The 19,388-nt window shown below is 46.8% G+C and overlaps 1 protein-coding gene across 1 annotated transcript in view; it reads left to right on the forward strand.

Annotated features, from left to right (window-relative positions):
* DYNLL1 (dynein light chain LC8-type 1) overlaps positions 63-19,388 on the forward strand; it is a 28,652-nt gene continuing 9,326 nt past the window's right edge. The window contains exon 1 of the mRNA NM_001037494.2: positions 63-325. The gene's annotated coding sequence lies outside the window, so the exon portion shown is untranslated. The remainder of the gene's footprint in view (positions 326-19,388) is intronic.

Consider the following 19,388-nt stretch of genomic DNA (forward strand, 5'->3'; position numbering starts at 1 on the left):
AGAACGCGGCTGCGACCATTGCGCGTGCGCGCAGGCCGGCGCCCCCTGGAGGTGCGAAGGGCCTTCGGGCGCTGACAGGGAGAGCCTGGGGCCGGGCCGTGTGGATGCCATCCCCGAGCGCGGTTCGCGCTCGGCTGAGGCGCTGGACAAGTGGCTTGGGCTCCCGCGCCTCAGTTTCTCTCTGTGGCGCCGCCTACCTCACAGACTTGTGAGCACTCACTGACGTGGGTAGCGCCCAGGGCCTGCGGGGCGCAGGAGAGCTGGAGTCAGGCGGAGACCGCAGGCTGACCCCGCAGCGGCCGGGCTGTCGCGGCCCCCACCTCAGGTCAGTAGGCCCCCGGGCCACCCTGTCCCCATTTTACAGTTGCTCAGAACTGACGGTGTCAGCATGAGATGGACTCCATAGCTTGGCCTTGAGTTTGTCGGAGTCGAGGGAGTAAGACTCTTAATGAGTATCACAGCGATCACTATAGAGTGCATCCGACTTGTGCTTTTCATCCTCTCCCGGGCAGAGTCTGAGGCCACAGAGGGGTCAGGAATGGAACCCAGAGCCATGCTCCCATCCTAAGTACTGAGTCCTTATGGAGCTCAGGTAGACACCCACCTTGGCACTTACTTTTCCACATTCACATCCCAGAACGCGGAGCATTGAACCCAGGGACCTTACAGTGAGGCCTTGCACCAGAAGACTTTTTGTTTGTTTTTGATACAGGGTCTTATTCTGTTGCTCAGGCTGGAGTGCAATGGCGCGAACACGGCTCACTGCAGTCTCGATCTCGCTGGACTCAGGTGATCCTCCCACCTCGGGGCGCCGTGAGGGGTCTGCGCTGCGTCCAGCTAGTTTATTTTCTATTTTTTTTGTAGAGAGGCTGGTCTCGAACTCCTGGGCTCAACCGATCCTCCAGCCTTGGCCTCCCAAAGTGTTGGATTACCGGCTTGAGCCCGGCGCCCGGCTGGAATACTCCTAACCTAAAGATTGTTCAGGCTGGGTGCGGTGGCTCACGCCTGTAATCCCAACACTTTGAGAGGCCAAGGCGGGAGGATCACTTGAGGTCAGTAGTTCGAGACTAGCCTGGGCAACATGGGGAAACCCCGTTTCTACTAAAAATACAAAAATTAGCTGGGCGTGGTGGCGTGTTCCTATAATCCCAGTTACGCGGGAGGCTGAGGCAGGAGAATTGCTTGAGCCCGGGAGGCGAAGGTTGCAGTGAGCCGAGATCATGCCACTGCACTTCAGCCTGGGTGACAGAGTGAGACTGTCTCAAAAATAAATAAAGATTTTTCATATTAAAAATGAAACCTGGCTGGGCGTGGTGGCTCATGCCTGTAATCCCAGCACTTTAGGAGGCTGAGGTGGGTGGATCACTTGAGGCCAGGAGTTCAAGACCAGCCTGGCCAACATGGCAAGACCCGCCCCCCTACTAAAAATACAAAAAAAAAAAAAAATTAGCCAAGCTTGGTGGCACGCCTGTAGTCCCAGCTGCTTGGGAGGATGAGGCACGAGAATCGCTTGAATCTGGGAGGCAGAGGTTGCAGTGAGCCGAGATTGTGCCACTGCACTCCTCCAGCCTGGGTGACAGAGGGAGACTCTGTCTCAAAAACAAGACAAAACAAAAACAAACAAAAAAAGGGACTAAAACCACACATTTAATCAGAAGGTAGTTGATTTCTCATTATACCATCTGAGCATTTTAAAATCAAAACAAACCAAAGACTAGACACCCACATATACTACTGAGTGTATATCTTTTTTGGAATACAAGTTGATAGTATACATCAGGCTTTCATAATATACATATACCCTTCGATCTTGTAATTCTGCTTGTAGGATTTTTTGTTTGTTTGTTTTGAGACGGAGTCTTACACTGTCACCCAGGCTGCAGTGCAGTGGCGTGATCTCGGCTCACTGCAAGCTCCGCCTCCCAGGTTCATGCCATTCTCCCGCCTCAGCCTCCTGAGTAGCTGGGACTACAGGTGCCTGCCACCACGCCCGGCTGATTTTTTTATATTTTTAGTAGAGACAGGGTTTCACCGTGTTAGCCAGGATGATCTCAATCTCCTGACCTCGTGATCCGCCTGCCTCAGCCTCCCAAAGTGCTGGGAATACAGGCGTGAGCCACCGCGCCCAGCTGCTTGTAGGATTTTTATCAGACGGAAATAAGCAAGAGATTCTCATAATAAATTACATGTGTATATTTATCATTGCATTCTGTGCAATTAAAAAAATTAAACTTGATAATAAGGGAGTGGCTCAACACATTAACTTTGAATGTTACACAATTATTAAGTCATGTTTTTAATATGACAGAGATATTAAAGTCACAGTAATTTACAGTTAAAGTGAATTGAAAGTGGTGTTTAATGTATACACATATATAGTGTATTTGCTGCTTGTAACAAAAAAAAAATAGAAAAAGCTTTCCAAATGTTGTGGTTGTGGAGATATCTCTTGATGGCAGTGATTTCTATGTTTTTATTTATGCTTTTCTGTATTTCTCAAATTGTAATTAGCATGCACTACTTTTATAATTGGAATAAAACATAATAAATGATTCCTAAAATAAAACCATTATAACTATCTGTTGTATTCTGGATTATGTAAAGCATCTAGCTGTTCTCTAGACAAGCAGGAAAGAGCCCTGGCCAAATATGATCTCGAGTCTAAGTGTGCAGCCTTATAGGAGCTTACATATCCTATAGGCATCCGAAAGTCCAGATGCCTTCTCATTTTGGGTGGTGTGCTTAGGTGTATTAATACCATTCTCTGAGTCCTACCACTCCTATGTGATTGTTGCCTGGAAAGACAAAAAAGGAAAAAAAAGTGCTGTTGGAGACAATTGGGCAGTCTCCTAGGGAGAGAGAAATAGAGTCAGCTAAGTGACTCAATAGGACTGTAGGTGGAAAACTGCTTGCAAATAATAATAATTCAGCTTTAATTGTGCAATGTCCTGCAGCATACAATCTCCAAAGGAGTTCAGTTACCCAGCAGAAAATGTAGGGATGTGGTTAGTACAGGCTTCTTGGATTAGATAGAGCACAGCTAAATCCTTAGGAGGCATTTATGATCATCCATGAAACCCCCTTTATTCCTGTACTGACCTTTGCAGTTAGAACACAAATGAGACCACAATTATGACTTCATGTTCAAAGGGTTCATAGGTTCCATTCTCTGCTAAGGCCAGAGACTCTAGGCAGGGACACCTTTTAAACTTTTTGTTCATCTAGATATTCAACATTATTTATGATTTAGGTCCTGTATGAGGCCCAGGGCATGCAATAATACAGCTCTGTCCTTGAGTTGTGTATATAGGTTGCTATTCGGTCATGTAGAGTACAGTTGTGATAAGGATAAGCTGCTTGAGACTACATCGGAGGGTCACCTACCACAGTCTTAGAGATTCTAAGGAAGGCTTCTGGGAGGAGATGTTTAGAGTCTTGAAGAACCAGTAGGAGTTAACCAGGGGGAAGAGGGAAGGGCATTTCAGACAAAAATGAGGGCATGACTGCTGAGTGCAGTGGCAGTAATCCCAGCACTTTGGGAGGCTGAGGCAGGAGGATGGCTTGAGTCCAGGAGTTTGAGACCAGGCTAGGCAATGTAGTGAGACCCCTATCTCTACAAAAAACTTAAAAATTGCCAGGCCCAGTGGCTCATGCCTGTAATCCCAGCACTTTGGGGAGGTCAAGGTGGGTGGATCACTTGAAGTCAGGAGTTCGAGACCAGCCTGGTCAACATGGCAAAACCTCATCTTTACTAAAAACACAAAAATTAGTCGGAGGTGGTGGCGCACACCTGTAATCCCAGCTACTTTGGAGGCTGAGGCAGGAGAATTGCTTGAACCCGGGAGGCAGAGGTTGCAGTGAGCCGAGATTGCGCCACTGAACTCCAGCCTGGTCAACACCGAGACTCTGTCTCAAAAAAAAAAAAAAAAAAAAATTAAAAAATTATCTAGGCATGGTAACGTGCACCTGTGGTCTCAGCTACTTGATCTCGAACTCTTGAGCTCAAGTGATCCGCCCATCTCGGCCTCCCAAAGTGCTGGGATTACAGGCATTAGCCACGGCACCTGACAGTCCCAGCTACTTAAGAGGCTGAGGTGGGAGGACTGCTTGAGCCTGGGAGGTTGAAGCTGTAGTTAGCCATGATTGCACCACTGCACTCCAGCCTGGGCAACAGAGTGAGACTCTGTCTCAAAACATAAAAAAGGACACCATGAGAAATCACCCAAATAGGAGAGAGAGTAGCAGACCAGGGAAAATCCCTACTGGTGTGACTGGGGCAAGGAGTTCAAGCAGGGAAGAAGAGAGAAGGAGCTGAGGCACCACCAGCCTGGGCAACATGTTAAAACCCCGTCTCTACAAAAAATACAAAAATTAGCTGGGCATGGTGGCACACACCCATAGTCCCAGCTACTTGGGAGGCTGAGGGGGGAGAATCACTTAAGCCCAGGAGGCAGAGGTTGCAGTGAGCCAATATTGCACCGCTGCACTCCAGCCTGGGCGACAGAGTGAGATCCTGTTACAGAAATGGGCTTGTCCTTCTTTTCACCAAACTGAAAAGAAGCCTTTGATGTTGGCAGACTATTAAGAATTAATGCAGTTCCCACAGCAAGCCATTTATTCTCCACCAGAGTGTAGGGCAGTGCCCAACTGAAAAAAACAACATAAAAAAAAAAAAAAATCCCAAAACCAACAACAGCTCGGGTGATGAGTGCATGAAAATCTCAGAAATCACCACTAAATAACTTAAAGAACTTATCCATATAACCAAACACCACCTGTTCCCCAAAAACCTATTGAAATAAAAATTTAAAACAAACAAAAAACCAACAACGCCAGGCATAAAACATGCTGCAAACCTGCCCATCTGGTTTTCTCCTTTTCTCTGTGACATCAGTCCCCTCTGGCATCCCAGCAAAATATTTTCCTCTCTGTCAGGCTCAGTCATGAGCTCCTCCCAGACCTTGGCCCTAGGTATCAGTGGGCAGAGAGGAAGTGATGGGGGAGTAGACCATCTGAGAAGATGAGGAACTGGTCCCGCCTGGCAGGAGAGCTATGGAATGAGTCACTGGGAAACGTGTTCCTGGTCACAGCACCCTGGGAGCTTTCTCTGTCATTCTCTACCACTGTACTTGTGTGATGGAGTAAAATAAAACATATTCTGGAAAGCTACATAATAAAGAACTGAGCCATGCAGGGGAGGAAGAAGAGAAACAGCAGCAGAACTAGGAGGTTTGGAAGAGAGTTTGGAATTGGGGGTGAGCTTTAGGAAAGCAAGTGTCAAGTGTGGGAGGATGAGAAGAGAAAAATGGGAAAGATAATTCAAGATTTGCAGTATATTGTGAATATAATTCCCCTCTGGTGTTTTTTTCAGAGACTGCAAAAAATCTTTAACATTATTTTTCAATAACTTTTAGATAATGAACTGGTGTTTTCTTTGAATATGCCCAAACAGGTGGGAACACAAGGGCTTGATTTTATATGAAGTTACTTCAAGTGAACATACTGTATTTGTAGCAGCTCGGTTGCTTTATTTTTACTAACTTGTTAAATTCTGTGATGGAGTCTTCAAACAGCTTTTTATATCAGGGCTTCCTTTTCTTGGATTAATGGGCTTCTGGGATCAGTGAACTCCTGCCTCCCTGCCCCCTCAACCTCCACCTCCTGACCCTGATCCTGCAAAGTTGTAACAGTTGTATGCAAAATATTGTATGTGGGCAGAAAAGTGTTTTTATTCTGGGGAGAATCTCCATGTAGCACTGTCCCACAGAACTTTCTAGGATGATGAAAACATTCTATATTTGAGTTCTATGTGGTAGCCATTGGTTACATGTAGCTATTGAGCACTTAAAATGTGGCTACTGCAACTGAGAAACCAACTTCTTAAATTATATTTAACAATAATTAACTTTAATTGTAATAGCCAAATGTGGCTAGTGGCTACCATACAGGACAGCGTAGGAATTTATCATTCTCAAAGGTCTATAAGCTGTACTCCCCCATTCCCCCAAAAAAGGCCAAGAAACACTGAGACCAATCACTTCCCTTTACAGCCCTATGGTACTGGCACATAGTAAGTGCTTAGTAAACACCTGTTGATTTTATTAACTAGTATATAAAGAACAGTTATTCTAGCTCCAGAAAAGTGGAACTGAGGTACAAAATGGCAAATGAGCTCATCAGGTTCACCAAATTTCATTTCCTAAGCTCTAAATTCCTTACCCTCAACCCAGAACTTTTTCCAAAACATTTTCCACTGTAACAAACCTTGAAAACTTTCTTCACAGCAGAGTAAATCAGAAACACAAGCAAAGGGTAGGGGGGTGTGAAAAGATTAATAACAGTACTAAGAATGTTTTTCAATGCAACAAAAAAGGATGCATTTATTTAGTAGAATCCTAATTTTTTTAGACCCAAGTCAGTTTTATACTAAGCAGATTTTTAATGAACTGCGTCAATATAATTCAGTAATGGCACCTCCAAGGCAAATACATTCCTTAAAGGTAAAAAACAAGTATGGGAATTATCTGGAGTTTTTTTTTTTTAAGTTAAAAAAAAATAATAATAACTGAAAGCCAGGAAGCTTCTAGGCTACACATCCCCCATGCTAACACATGCCCAGTGGCTGAACTTCCTTCTGTCTGCCTGAGGCTGGCTCTCCCCCTCAGCCAGCACATGTGCAGGGCTTCTGTGAATGTCACATTGACAGACATTCCTTGCTAGGCAGCTGGGGACCAGTTTCTTTTGTAATTCCATCCTTCTCATGGGCTGCCAGTCTGTCTTGTTGTGACACACTCCTTGAAGGTGCTAGAAGGACAGCGGATGTTTGGGGGGTTTTTTTGTTTGTTTTTTGAGACAGAGTTTCGCTCTTGTCACCCAGGCTGGAGTGCAGTGGTGCGATCTCGGCTCACTGCAACCTCCGCCTCCCAGGTTCAAGCGATTTTCCTGCCTCAGCCTCCTGAGTAGCTGGGATTACAGGCATGCACCACCACACCTGGCTAATTCTGTATTTTTTAGTAGAGATGGGATTTCTCCATGTTGGTCAGGCTGGTCTCGAACTCCCAACCTCAGGTGGTCCGCCCGCCTTGGCCTCCCAAAGTGCTGGGATTACAGGCATGAGCCACCGCGCCCGGACTTTGTTTTTTGTTTTGTTTTTTTTGTTTTTTTTTTTGAGACGGAGTCTCGCTCTGTTGCCCAGGCTGGAGTGCAGTGGCACGATCTTGGCTCACTGCAACCTCTGCCTCCTAGGTTCAAGCGATTCTCCTGCCTCAACTTCCCAAGTAACTGGGATTACAGGCACCTGCCACCACACTTGGATAATTTTGTATTTTTAGTAGAGATTGGGTTTCACCATGTTGGCCAGGCTGGTCTCGAACTCCTGACCTCAAGTGATCCACCTGTCTTGGCTTCCCAAAATCCTGGGATTACAGGTGTGAGTTACCACGCCCAGCCAAGAGCAGGTTTTTTTTATCTAGTGCTATGCTTGGACCCCAGCTTTAAGAGCCCAGGGTTATGTACATGGCATCTGGGACTTTGGTGGTGGCTTCACTCCTTGTCTGCTCAACATTTGTTCATGTATTCAACCCACATTTATCGAGCCATAGAACATTGAGCCTGGCTCTGTGCTGGGCACTGGTGCTCGGGATACAACAGTAAGACTCAACCCTGCCCTCACACCATTCACAGACAACTAAAAAGGCAATTACAGTCAGGCGTGGTGGCTCATGCCTGTAATCCCAGCACTCTGGGAACTCGCTTGAGCCCAGGAGTTCCAGACCAGCCTAGGAAACCTAGTAGATCCCGTCTCTACAAAAAAAATAAATAAATAAAAATAAATAAATAAATAAAAAAAGCTGGGTGTGATGGTGTGCACCTGTAGTCCCAGCTACTCTGGAGGTAGAAGCGGGAGGATGGCTTGAGGCCAGGAGTTGGAGGCTGCTTTGAACTAGGGTCTCGCCACTGTACTCCAGCCTGGGTGACAGAGCAAGACCCCGTCTCTGAAAAATAAAGTAAAAATATATATATATTTTTTTTTCTGAGACAGAGTTTCGCTCTTGTTGCCCAGGCTGGAGTGCAATGGTGCGATGTCAGCTCACTGCAGCCTCCGCCTCCTGGGTTCAAGTGATTCTCCTGCCTCAGTAGCTGAGATTACAGGCATACGCCACCATGCCTGGCTAATTTTTTTTTGTATTTTTAGTAGGGACAGGGTTAAGCCATGTTGGCCAGGCTGGTTTCAAACTCTTAGCCTCAGGTGATCCACCCATGTCGGCCTCCCAAAGTGCTGGGATTACAGGCTTGAGCCACTGCACCCGGCCAAAAGTTTTTTTTTTTGTTGTTGTTTTTTTTTTTGAGAAGGAGTTTCACTCTTGTTGCCCAGGCTAGAGTGCAATGGCACAATCTTTGCTCACTGCAACCTCCACCCCCAGGTTCAAGTGATTCTCCTGCCTCGGCTTCCTGAGTAGCTGGGATTACAGGCATGCGCCACCACGCCCAGCTAATTTTGTATTTTTAGTAGAGACGAGGTTTCTCCATGTTGGTCAGGCTGGTCTTGAACTCCCTACCGCAGGTGATCCGCCCGCCTCGACCTCCCAAAGTGCTGGGATTACAGGCATGAGCCACCATGCCTGGCCCCAATTTTTTTTTTTTTTAAATAGAGACAGGGTCTCACTATATTACCTAGGCTGGTCTCAAACTCCTGAGCTCAAGTGATCCTCCTGCCTCAGCCTCCCAAAGTGCTAGTATTACAGACATTAAGCCACCATGCCTGGCCTAAAAAATAAAAAGGCAATTACAGGCTGGGCACAGTGGCTCATGCCTGTAATCCTAGCACTTAGGGAGGCTGAGGCGGGCAGATCACTTGAGGTCAGGAGTTCGAGACCAGCCTGGCCAACATGGTGAAACCACGTCTGTTTTCTTTTCTTTTTTATGAGATGGAGTCTCAATCTGTCACCCAGGCTGGAGTGCAATGGCACAATCTTGCTCACTGCAACCTCCACCTCCTGGGTTCAAGCAATTCTCCTGTCCCAGCCTCCCGAGTAGATGGGATTACAGGCGCCCGCCACCACGCCCAGCTAATTTTTGTATTTTTAGTAAAGACAGGGTTTTGCCATGTTGGCCAGGCTGGTCTTGAACTCCTGACCTCAGGTGATCCACCTGCCTCGGCCTCCCAAAGTGCTGGGATTACAGGCGTGAGCCACCGCACCAGGCTGTGAAACTGTCTCTATTAAAAATACAAAAATTAGCTGGGCATGGTGGCAGGTGCCTGTAATCCCAGCTACTCGGGAGGCTGAGGCAGGAGAATCGCTTGAACCCGGGAAGCAGAGGTTGCAGCGAGTCGAGAACACACCACTGCACAGCAACCTGGGTGACAGAGCAAGTCTCCGTGTAAAAAATAATAGTAATAGGCCAGGCGCGGTGGCTCACGCCTGTAATCCCAGCACTTTGGGAGGCTGAGGCGGGCAGATCATCTGAGGTCAGGAGTTCGAGACCAACATGGAGAAACCCCGTCTCTACTAAAAATACAAAAAATTAGACGGGCATGGTGGCACATGCCTGTAATCCCAGCTACTCAGGAGGCTGAGGCAGAGGAATCACTTGAACCCGGGAGGCGGAGGTTGTGGTCAGCTGAGATCACACCATCCAGCCTGGGCATCAAGAGTGAAACTCCGTCTCCAAAAAAAAAAAAAAAAAAAAATAATAATAATAATAATAATAATAAAATTTAAAAAGGCAATTATAACAAAATGAGATATGTGCTACAAGAAATTCAGGGCACTCCTGCAGCTCTTAACCCAGGCTGGAGGGGAGTGTTCAGGGAAGACTTCCTGGAGGGAGTGGCTCTTCTAAACTGAGACCTGAAGAACCAGATGGTGCTAGGCAGGTAAATGAGAGGAGAAGAAAAGCATTCCAGACAGAAAGAAAGCACTGCAAAGAAAGCTGGGAGGACAGAGGCAAGCTTGGGGCTTTCGGGAAGCTAAATAGTTCAGCACAGTTAGAGCATGGGGTGGAGGTGAGGGCTGTTCTTCCTTGCACTAGTGCCACAAGCTACTTACAGTGAGATGCCCTAATGTAAATCAGAGCCTGGCTGGGTTAGATTACACATGTCAGTCCTAAGTATTTCAGATGTTCACTGGCAATCAGTATGAGTTGCCTTTACCATACAAATGTTTATTGTATATCCCTGAATAGGATGATTGTAAAGGGGTGGCATGATCAGTCTGGGGGAAGGGGCCTTGAGGGGAGTATGGTCTCACAGTGTCCAAAGGAGAGCTGTGAATAGCAAAAGGATGCTTGTTTGGAAGACAGAAGGACAGCAGAAGGGGACAAAGCAAAAATCCAATCATCCCTCCTTGTGTGAGGAAGATGGGGCTCAGGGGGAGCGGAATTCAAAATGTGAGGATGTTTATTAAAACCTATGGTTCCCCCAAAATTAGAGGGGACCTCAATCTGCATCCAGAGGGGGCTGGTTAAGCAGGAAATGTACAGTTCTAGTTCTGAATACTATGCAAACATTAAAAATACCACATTCATATGTGTGGATATGAAAAGATCTCCAAGATACTGACATCTACAGTGTGTACTGTGCTAGATGCTAGGGACACAGCAGAGGGGACAAAGTGTCTGCCTCCCTAGAGACAACACCATCTCCACACCCTCACCTTGGCCTTCAGGATGTGCCTGAAGCAGCTTCTCCTCCACTCCTGCTACTCCTGGCAGCTTCTCTGGGATCTGCTGTCTGGAAGCCTGTGTCCCTTTCCTTCCTCCAGGTCTTTGCATGGGCTGGCTCCTCTCCCTGGACACTGTTTTGCTCCCTCTACCTCTGCCTCCCGAGTCTTTGCCTGGCCAAGGCCTCCTCAGCCTTCAGGTCCTTGACTTAGTAAGGGGCCCAGGCCTGTGTGACCCAATCTAGAACTTTCCTTTGAGTTTATACCTCTGAAAGGCCTTGTTGTCTCCCATTATGCCTTTTGTTCCACCTCAAAGCATTTTTCTTTTTTTTTTTTTTTGAGACGGAGTCTCGCTCTGTTGCCCAGGCTGGAGTCGTGGCTCCATCTTGGCTCACTGCAAGCTCCGCCTCCCGGGTTCACGTCATTCTCCTGCCTCAGCCTCCCGAGTAGCTGGGACTACAGGCGCCCGCCACCATGCCCAGCTAATTTTTTGCATTTTTAGTAGACATGGGGTTTCACCATGTTCGCCAGGATGGTCTCGATCTCCTGACCTCGTGATCTGCCCACCTTGGCCTCCCAAAGTGCTGGGATTACAGGCGTGAGCCACCATGCCCGGCTCACATATTTCTTAATTTCTTTTTTCCTATTTGTAGTTTATGATTCTTATATTTATTGAAGTCTGTATGTATAACACTGTGCTAATACCAGTGACTTCCTGTGATGTCTTATCTTTGACACTATTTCTGACACCAAATGTGTGGTGCGGTCTTTATCTCTGGCACCAGATACGTGTCATTTTTCCACATCAATTGTTCAATTATCTGAGATCAACTGGACCTCTGAAAATTCTATTCAGTTCTGACACTAACTACCCAGAGTTAGCACAGACCCTGAACAAAAGTTAAGGACTGAGTCCCACAAGACCGCCCCCACTTTAGATGCCTGCACAAATGAGGTGCCCCAGCTACCCACATTTTTGTTGGGCCTACTACAAATTCAGAGGTTCCCACTCACCCCCTTCAGGTTCAATAATTTACTAGAGTGACTCACAGAACTCAGGACAGCACCTTATTTACATTTTCCAGTTTATTATAAAGGATACAACTAGGATCAACCAAATGGAAGCGATGCATAGGGCAAGGCATGGGGCGGGGCACAGCAGGAGGAGGTGGGAACAGAGCTTCCATGTCCTCTCCAGGTGCACCACCCTCCCAGCACATCAATGCGTTCATCATTCCAGACTTTCGGAACCTCCTGTTCAAGAGTGTTTGGAGCCCAGTCTCTAGCCCCACTCCCCTCCCTGGAGGTTGGGGGAAGGAGCTGAAAGTTTCCATCTCTAGTAATGTGGATAGTCTTTCTGGTGAACTCCCATATGTATGTTAATAAAATAAATGATTAAATTTTGTCTTCTTTTTGTTTGTTTTAGAGACAGGGGTCTCGCTCTGTTGCCCATGGGGCAGTGCAGTGGCATGATGCTAGCCCACGGCAGCCTCGACCTCCTGGACTCAAGTGATCCTCCCGCCTCAGCCTCCCAGAGTGTTGGGATTATGGGTGTAAGCCACCACGCTTGGCCTTCTCTTGTTAATATATCTTTCGTCTGTTTAATTCACAGGTCCCCAAAGACTAAACCTGAGGGTAGATAAAAAGTTTTTCCTCCCAGACACTGTCTACAAACTGATTCTAAAATTTACAGAGAAGCCAGGGCACTGTGTTTTGCACCTGTAGTCTCAGTTGCACACTTGGGAGCTACTTGGGAGCTGAGACAGGAAGATCGCTGGAGGCCAGGAGTTTGAGGCTATAATACACCATGATCATGCCTGTGAGTAGCCAATGCACTCCAGCCCGGGCAACATAGAAAGGCAAAGGTACTAGATTTGCCAAAACAATTTTTTTTTTTTTTGAGATGGAGTCGCGCTCTATCGCCCAGGCTGTAGTGCAGTGGCGCCATCTCGGCTCGCTGCAAGCTCCACCTCCCGGGTTCACGCCATTCTCCTGCCTCAGCCTCTCAGGTAGCTGGGACTACAGGCGCCTGCCACCGTGCCCGGCTAATTTTTTGTATTTTTAGTGGAGATGGGGTTTCACAGTGTTAGCCAAGATGGTTTCAATCTCCTGACCTTGTGATCCGCCTGCCTCGGCCTCCCAAAGTGCTGGGATTACAGGCGTGAGCCACCATGCCCGGCCTAGCCAAAACAATTTTTTTACAGAGAAAGGCAAAGGTACTAGATTAGCCAAAACAATTCTGAAAAAAAAAATAGTCAGAGGACTCACATACTCACATTACCCAACTTCAAGACTCACTATAAAGTTACAGTATTCAAAGTAGGGTGGTATCAGCAAAAAGATAAACACATAGAGCAGTGAGACAGAATAGACAGCCCAGGCCAGACATGGGCTTTGGGAGGCTGAGGCAGGAGGATTGCTTGAGTCCATGAGTTCGAGACCAGCCTGGGCAAGATGGCGAGACCTCCATCTCTACAAAAAAGTAAAAATTTAGCCAGGCATCGGTGGCTCGTGCCTGTGGTCCCAGCTACTCGAGAGGCTGACGCAGGAGGATCCCTCAAGCCCAGGATCCAGCCTGGAAAACAGAGCAAGACCTCATCTCTTAAAGAAAAAAAAAGGCCAGGCACGGTGGCTTACACCTGTAATCCCAGCACTTTGGGAGTCTGAGGCGGGTGGATCACAAGGTCAGGAGTTTGAGACCAGCCTGACCAATGTGGTGAAACCCCGTCTCTACTAAAAATACAAAAATTATCTGGGTGTGGTGGTGCACACCTGTAACCCCAGCTACAAGGGAGGCTGAGGCAGGAGAATTGCTTGAACTTGGGAGGTGGAGGCTGCAGTGAGCTGAGATTGTGCTACTGTACTCTAGCCTGGATGACAGAGAGAAGCTCTGTATCAAAAAAAAAAAAAAAGGTCAGAAGAAGAGCGAAGGTGGTGAGATATATTTTCAAGATTGAGCTTAAAGAATTTAAGCTCATTAATGTGCTTAAATTAGATGTGAGGTGTGAGGAATATACACAAGTCAAGGAAAACTTCTAGATCTCTCTCCTGAGCACCTGGAAGAATGCAGTGGCTATTTACAGTGATAAGGAAGCCTGCAGGATAAGCAGGCAGGTTTGGGAGTAGAATAGGTCTGTTGTGGATGTGTTAGGTTTGAGACAGATGCCTGTTAGACATCCTAGAGCTATTTCAAATAGGACTTAGAGATATGGGATGGGCATTCAGGGGCAAAGTTTGGGGTGAAAATACAAATTTGAGAGTTGTGAGCCATGAAATTTAAAGCCATGAAAATGGAGACTCCCAAGAGAGAGTTTAAATAGAGAAGTAGCCCAATAGAGAAGGCCTGGTTCACTTCTTCCTTCAGATGTCATGGAGAAAAGGGGAAACAAACAGAGGAGCCTGAGGTGGAGCAGCCAGTGAGATGGGAGGACAGCTAAGAGAGTGTGTGGTCCTGGAAGCCAAGGGAGGACCCAGAGGAAGAGAGCAACTGTGACATGTATGGCCATGAAGGGCACTGAGAATTGGCCACTGTGTTTAGCAGCATGGTGGTCACCGGTGACCACCACATTTGAGCTGTGTGGGTGCAGTGGATTAAAGAGAGAATGGGAGGTGAGGAATCGGGGACAGGGAGTACAGACAACTCTTGGAGGAAAGCCGAGATGGGATGGTAGCTACAGGAGAATGTGTAGGCAAGGGAAGCATTTTTAAAAGAATATGACAGCATGTTTGCACGCTGGTGGGAATAATCCAGTAGACAGGGGAAACTGATGATGCAGGAGAGGGAGAAGAGACAATCACAGGAATGAGAGGAGATGGACCCAGTGCCAGGGAGATGGCCTTAGATAGGAGCATGAACAGTTCATACAGGGTAACGGCAAGGGAGGCAGAATGTGTGTATACAGATGTGGGTGGGTGGGTGGGGACAGGTGGTGGAAATGCATGGAAGTTTATGAAAGGAATAAAGTAGATTTATATATCGTGACAGGGAACTCAGAATCATCCCATTTTGGTAAAAAGGAAAAAAGCCTGTTATATGCCGGGAAAAAATCAAATTTTAACATTATCTTTGAGTTGTAAGATTACAGATCTTACAAAGGAACTTTCTTTTTCAGATTCTAAATTTCTACAGTGTTTCACTTTTATACAATGAGTACCTATTACTTCTGAAAGTAGAATTAAAAAGATTATTTTTATCTTTGAAAGATATTCATCAGAACAAAGCACTGTTACAATACTGAAAAACTGGAAGCAACTTAAGTGTCCACTGATAAGTGATTGTTTCAAGAAGTTATGCATGGACTTTTTTTTTTTTTTTTGAGACGGAGTCTCACTGTGACACCCAGGCTGGAGTGCAATAGCGCAATCTCGGATCACTGCAACCTCCGCTTTGCTTCCTGGGTTCAAGCGATTCTCCTGCCTCAGCCTCCTAAGTAGCCTACAGGCACGCAACACTACACCTGGCTAATTTTTTATATTTTTAGTAGAGATGGGGTTTCACCATATTGGCCAGGCTGGTCTCGAACTTCTGACCGCAAGTGATCCAACCACCTGGGCCTCCCAAAGTGCTGGGATTACAGGCGTGAGCCACCGCCCCTGGCCGCATGGGCTATAAAGAAGCTATTAAAATTGGGCTGGGTGCAGTAGCTCATGCTTGTAATCCCAGCACTTTGGGAGGTGAAGGCAGGATGCCTGCTTGAGCCCAGGAGTTTGAGGCTGCAGTGAGCTAGGATTGCACCACTGTACTCCAGCCTGGGTGAGAGTGGGACCCCATCTTTAAAAATACATAAGTAAATAGTTATGTTGTAGAAGGCTTTTTTTTTTTTTTTTTTTTTTTGAGATGGAGTCTTGCTCTGTCGCCCAGGCTGGAGTGCAGTGGCACGATCTCGGCTCACTGCAACCTCCACCTCCTAGGTTCAAGCAATTCTCTGCCTCACCCTCCCAAGTAGCTGAGATTACAGGCGCCCACCACCACACCCAGCCAATTTTTGTATTTTTAGTAGAGACAGGGTTTTAACATCTTGGCCAGGCTGGTCTTGAACTCCCGACCTCGTGATCCACCTGCCTCGGCCTCCCAAAGTGCTGGGATTACGAAAAGCAGGTAACAAAAATGATACATTGGCCAGGTTCAGTGGCTCATGCCTATAATACCAGCACTTTTGGAGGCCAAGGTGGGAGGATTGCTTGAGCCCAGGAGTTTGAGACCAGCCTGGGCAACATAGTGATACCTCATTTTTATTAAAAATCAAAAAAATTAGCCAGGTGTGGTGGTGTGCACCTGTGATCCCAGCTACTTGGGAGGGAGGGGCAGTCGGATCCCTTGAGCCTGGGAGTTTGAGGCTGTAGTGAGGTACGATCGCACCACTACACCCTAGCCTATTTGACAGAGTAAGTCCCTGTCTAAAAAAAAAAAAAAAAAAAAAAAGATACATACAGTGTGATAGGTATTATATGATATGAATATGTTCTTATCTGTAGACTGGATGTATTTAAGACAAAATATTGACAATGGTTATCTCTGTACAGTTAACATTTATAATTCATTCCTTGTGTTCTTCTGTATCTACTACCATGTGCATTTATTATTTTTGTAATTTTTAATAAAAAACGGGTGTCAGGAAAGAAAATTGATTAAAACCCCTGTAAATATTTCACATGTGTAATGGCTGTGACATTGAGTTTGAGAACAGCTGCAGTTGGCTGCACTCATTACATTATTTTACTTTATAGCTTTGTAGTAAAGGTTGATTTATATGAGCCGAAATGGAAAATGGTCACAGAGAAAAGAGTTGCAGAGGCCCTGGCCAAAACCACCTGGCACCCTGCTAATGAAATAATACCTTTGGAGTTTCTTGGGGGAAGTGGCTCCTGGAAGAAACAGATTATTATGTACAGCCTTAAGCTCTGGCTTTGTGATCCTAAGATGATAAGTTTGGGGGTACCAAGGGTTCTGCTCTTACCGAGAGAGAAAAACAACTTCTTTGCATTCCCCTCTCTGTCCCCTGAGAGAACCAGGGCTTTGCAAACAGATGTTTCTGTTTTTGTTTTTGAGTCAGGGTCTCGCTCTGTTGCCCAGGCTGGAGTGCAGTGGTGCAATCATAGCTCACTGCAGCCTTGAACTCTTGGGCTCAAGCAATCCTCCCCGCTGTAGCCTCCTGAGTAGCTGGAACTACCGGCACACCCCACTATACTAGCTAATTTTTTATTTTTATTTTTGGTAGAGATGGGGTCTTGCTATATTGCCCAGGCTGGTCTCCATCTCCTGGGTAAGGCATCCTCCTGCCTTAGCCTCCCAAAGCGCTAGGATTATAGGCATGAGACACTGCACCTGGAGTGCAAACAGATGTTTAAAATGGAGAAACCAAGAGCCTGAAGCAAAGAGGCAACAATCAATAACCTCCTCACTGGTGTCCTGGCTGCCCTACTAACCTGCCCACTTCAGTGGCCCTCTGATCATATGAATCCCTACCCACTACCTTTCAGTGTTGTGGGATTCAGGAGGATGAGAGAGAGACCTCGGGTTAAAACAGGAGAATCTTTTTTTTTTTTTTTTTTGAGATGCAGTCTCGCTCTGTCGCCCAGGCTGGAGTGCAATGGCGCCATCTCGGCTCACTGCAAGCTCTGCCTCCCAGGTTCACACCATTGTCCTGCTTCAGCCTCCCTAGTAGCTGGGACTACAGGCGCCCGCCACCACACCCGGCTAATTTTTTGTATTTTTAGTAGAGACAGGGTTTCACTGTGTTAGCCAGGATGGTCTCGATCTCTGACCTCGTGATCCACCCGCCTCAGCCTCTGAAAGTGCTGGGATTACAGGCGTAAGCCACCGTGCCCGGCCTTTTTTTTTTTTTTTTTTTTTTTTTTTTTTTTTTTTTTGAGACGGACTCTTGCTCTGTTGCCCAGGCTGGAGTGCAGTGGCGCGATCTCGGCTCATTACACATGTGCAGTATTTACTGGGTTCACACCATTCTCCTGCCTCAGCCTCCCGAGTAGCTGGGACTACAGGCGCCCACCACCACACCCGGCTAATTTTGTTTTTGTATTTTTAGTAGAGACGGGGTTTCACCGTGTTAGTCAGGATGGTCTCAATCTAAAACAGGAGAATCATTTATTGAGTGCACTCAGGCCCAGCTGACTCAACGTCCAAAAGACTGGGCCCGGAAGAAAGACAGCACTTGACTTCTATACACACTTCACAAAAGGGGGTGGGCTAGCTTGAAGCAAGCTTACAGTGGCATGAAAGCAGGGATATAGAGGCAGGACAAACTCAGGATTGCACGTGACCGTTGCCAAGCAACCCAGATGTCCGTTATCTAGGTTTGCCCAGGCACAGACTTATCCCATAACCTTCACTATGGCGCCCAGGTGGCCGTAACTCAGGCCAGCTCAGAGGCTCATGACCTTCACTCCACTGCTTAGATAAAACAATACTTGAAGTCACTGGTTACAGAGAATAGGAATCTATAAACTCATTCCATAAAACAAAGGAAAATTTGTTTTTCTTCTCCCTATGTTGAGGGAGTACTGGGAGAATCTCCAGAGCACATTAGATAATATTATGAAGAATTTTCCTGGGTCTGGCCTGTGCCTATTGCTGCCTCTGGGACAAGTCACCCTCATACAGAAAAACTTATTTCTCTTTCTTTTTAATTTTGCTTTTCTTTAATTTCCCACCTCAACAGAGCCACTGGTGGCCGCAGAAGACAGTCCACGTGTCTTAACCAGACTTACAAGACTCCAAAGGTCTGGCTTCTCCCCACCCCTACTCCCTGTCTTGTCTCTCCCACACTCCCCCAACAGCTTCTCTGGAGCCAAGTCAGCCAGCCTCCTTCCAGCTTCAGGCCTTTGAACATGCTGTTCTTTCCACCTAAAAAGCTCCCTGCACTTCCCCCAGCCTAGTTCCCTGCTTGTATAGATTGTTCCTCTAATGTGACTCCTGGAAAAGCCTTCCTTGCCTCTCCGGCTAGAGCAGAGCCCCCATTAACAGCTCTCACACCAGCCTATCTTTCTCCTCCACTGCATTTGTCACATCCTGTGATCCTGTGTGCATCCTGTTCAATGTCTGTCTCCACACATAAAATCTAAACTCCAAAAGGATAGGAACTGTGTCTGACTCGCTTCCTTTCATGTCCCTTGTGCCTAGATGGGTGCCTTGTATCAAGCAGGTGCTCAACAAATGTCTGCTGAAAAAATGATGCAGGGTGCGGTGGTTCACGCAGGTAATCCCAGCACTTTGGGAGGCCGAGGCGGGTGGATCACCTGAGGTCGGGAGTTCAAGGCCAGCCTGACCAACATGGAGAAACCCCATGTCAACTAAAAATACAAAAAATTAGCCCGATGTGGTGGTGCATGCCGGTAATCCCACCTACTGAGGAGGCTGAGACAGGAGGATTGCTTGAACCCAGGAGGCGGAGGTTGTGGTGAGCCAAGATCATGCCATTGCACTCCAGCCTGGGCAACAAGAACGAAACTCTGTCTCAAAAAAAGAAAAAAGAGAAAAAAAGGACTAAGTGACTAAAAGACAGGGTAGGAACTCAAGGCTCATCCTCTACATGGCCAAAGCACTTAGGCAGGAAAATTAAGTAAGTAATAGAGCTTCTCTGGGGCAGGTGCCAAAGGAAGTCCATCTCTGTACCTAGCACCTAGCTCCGGGCCTGGCCCATAGTAAACGCTCAGAGAATATTGCTAGCTGAATAAGCATTACTTCCATCTACACGTACTCCGCCCTCAGTG

The sequence above is a fragment of the Homo sapiens genome, chromosome 12 (genome assembly GCF_000001405.40).
Source record: "Homo sapiens chromosome 12, GRCh38.p14 Primary Assembly".
In the NCBI taxonomy this organism is placed as follows: Eukaryota; Metazoa; Chordata; class Mammalia; order Primates; family Hominidae; genus Homo; species Homo sapiens.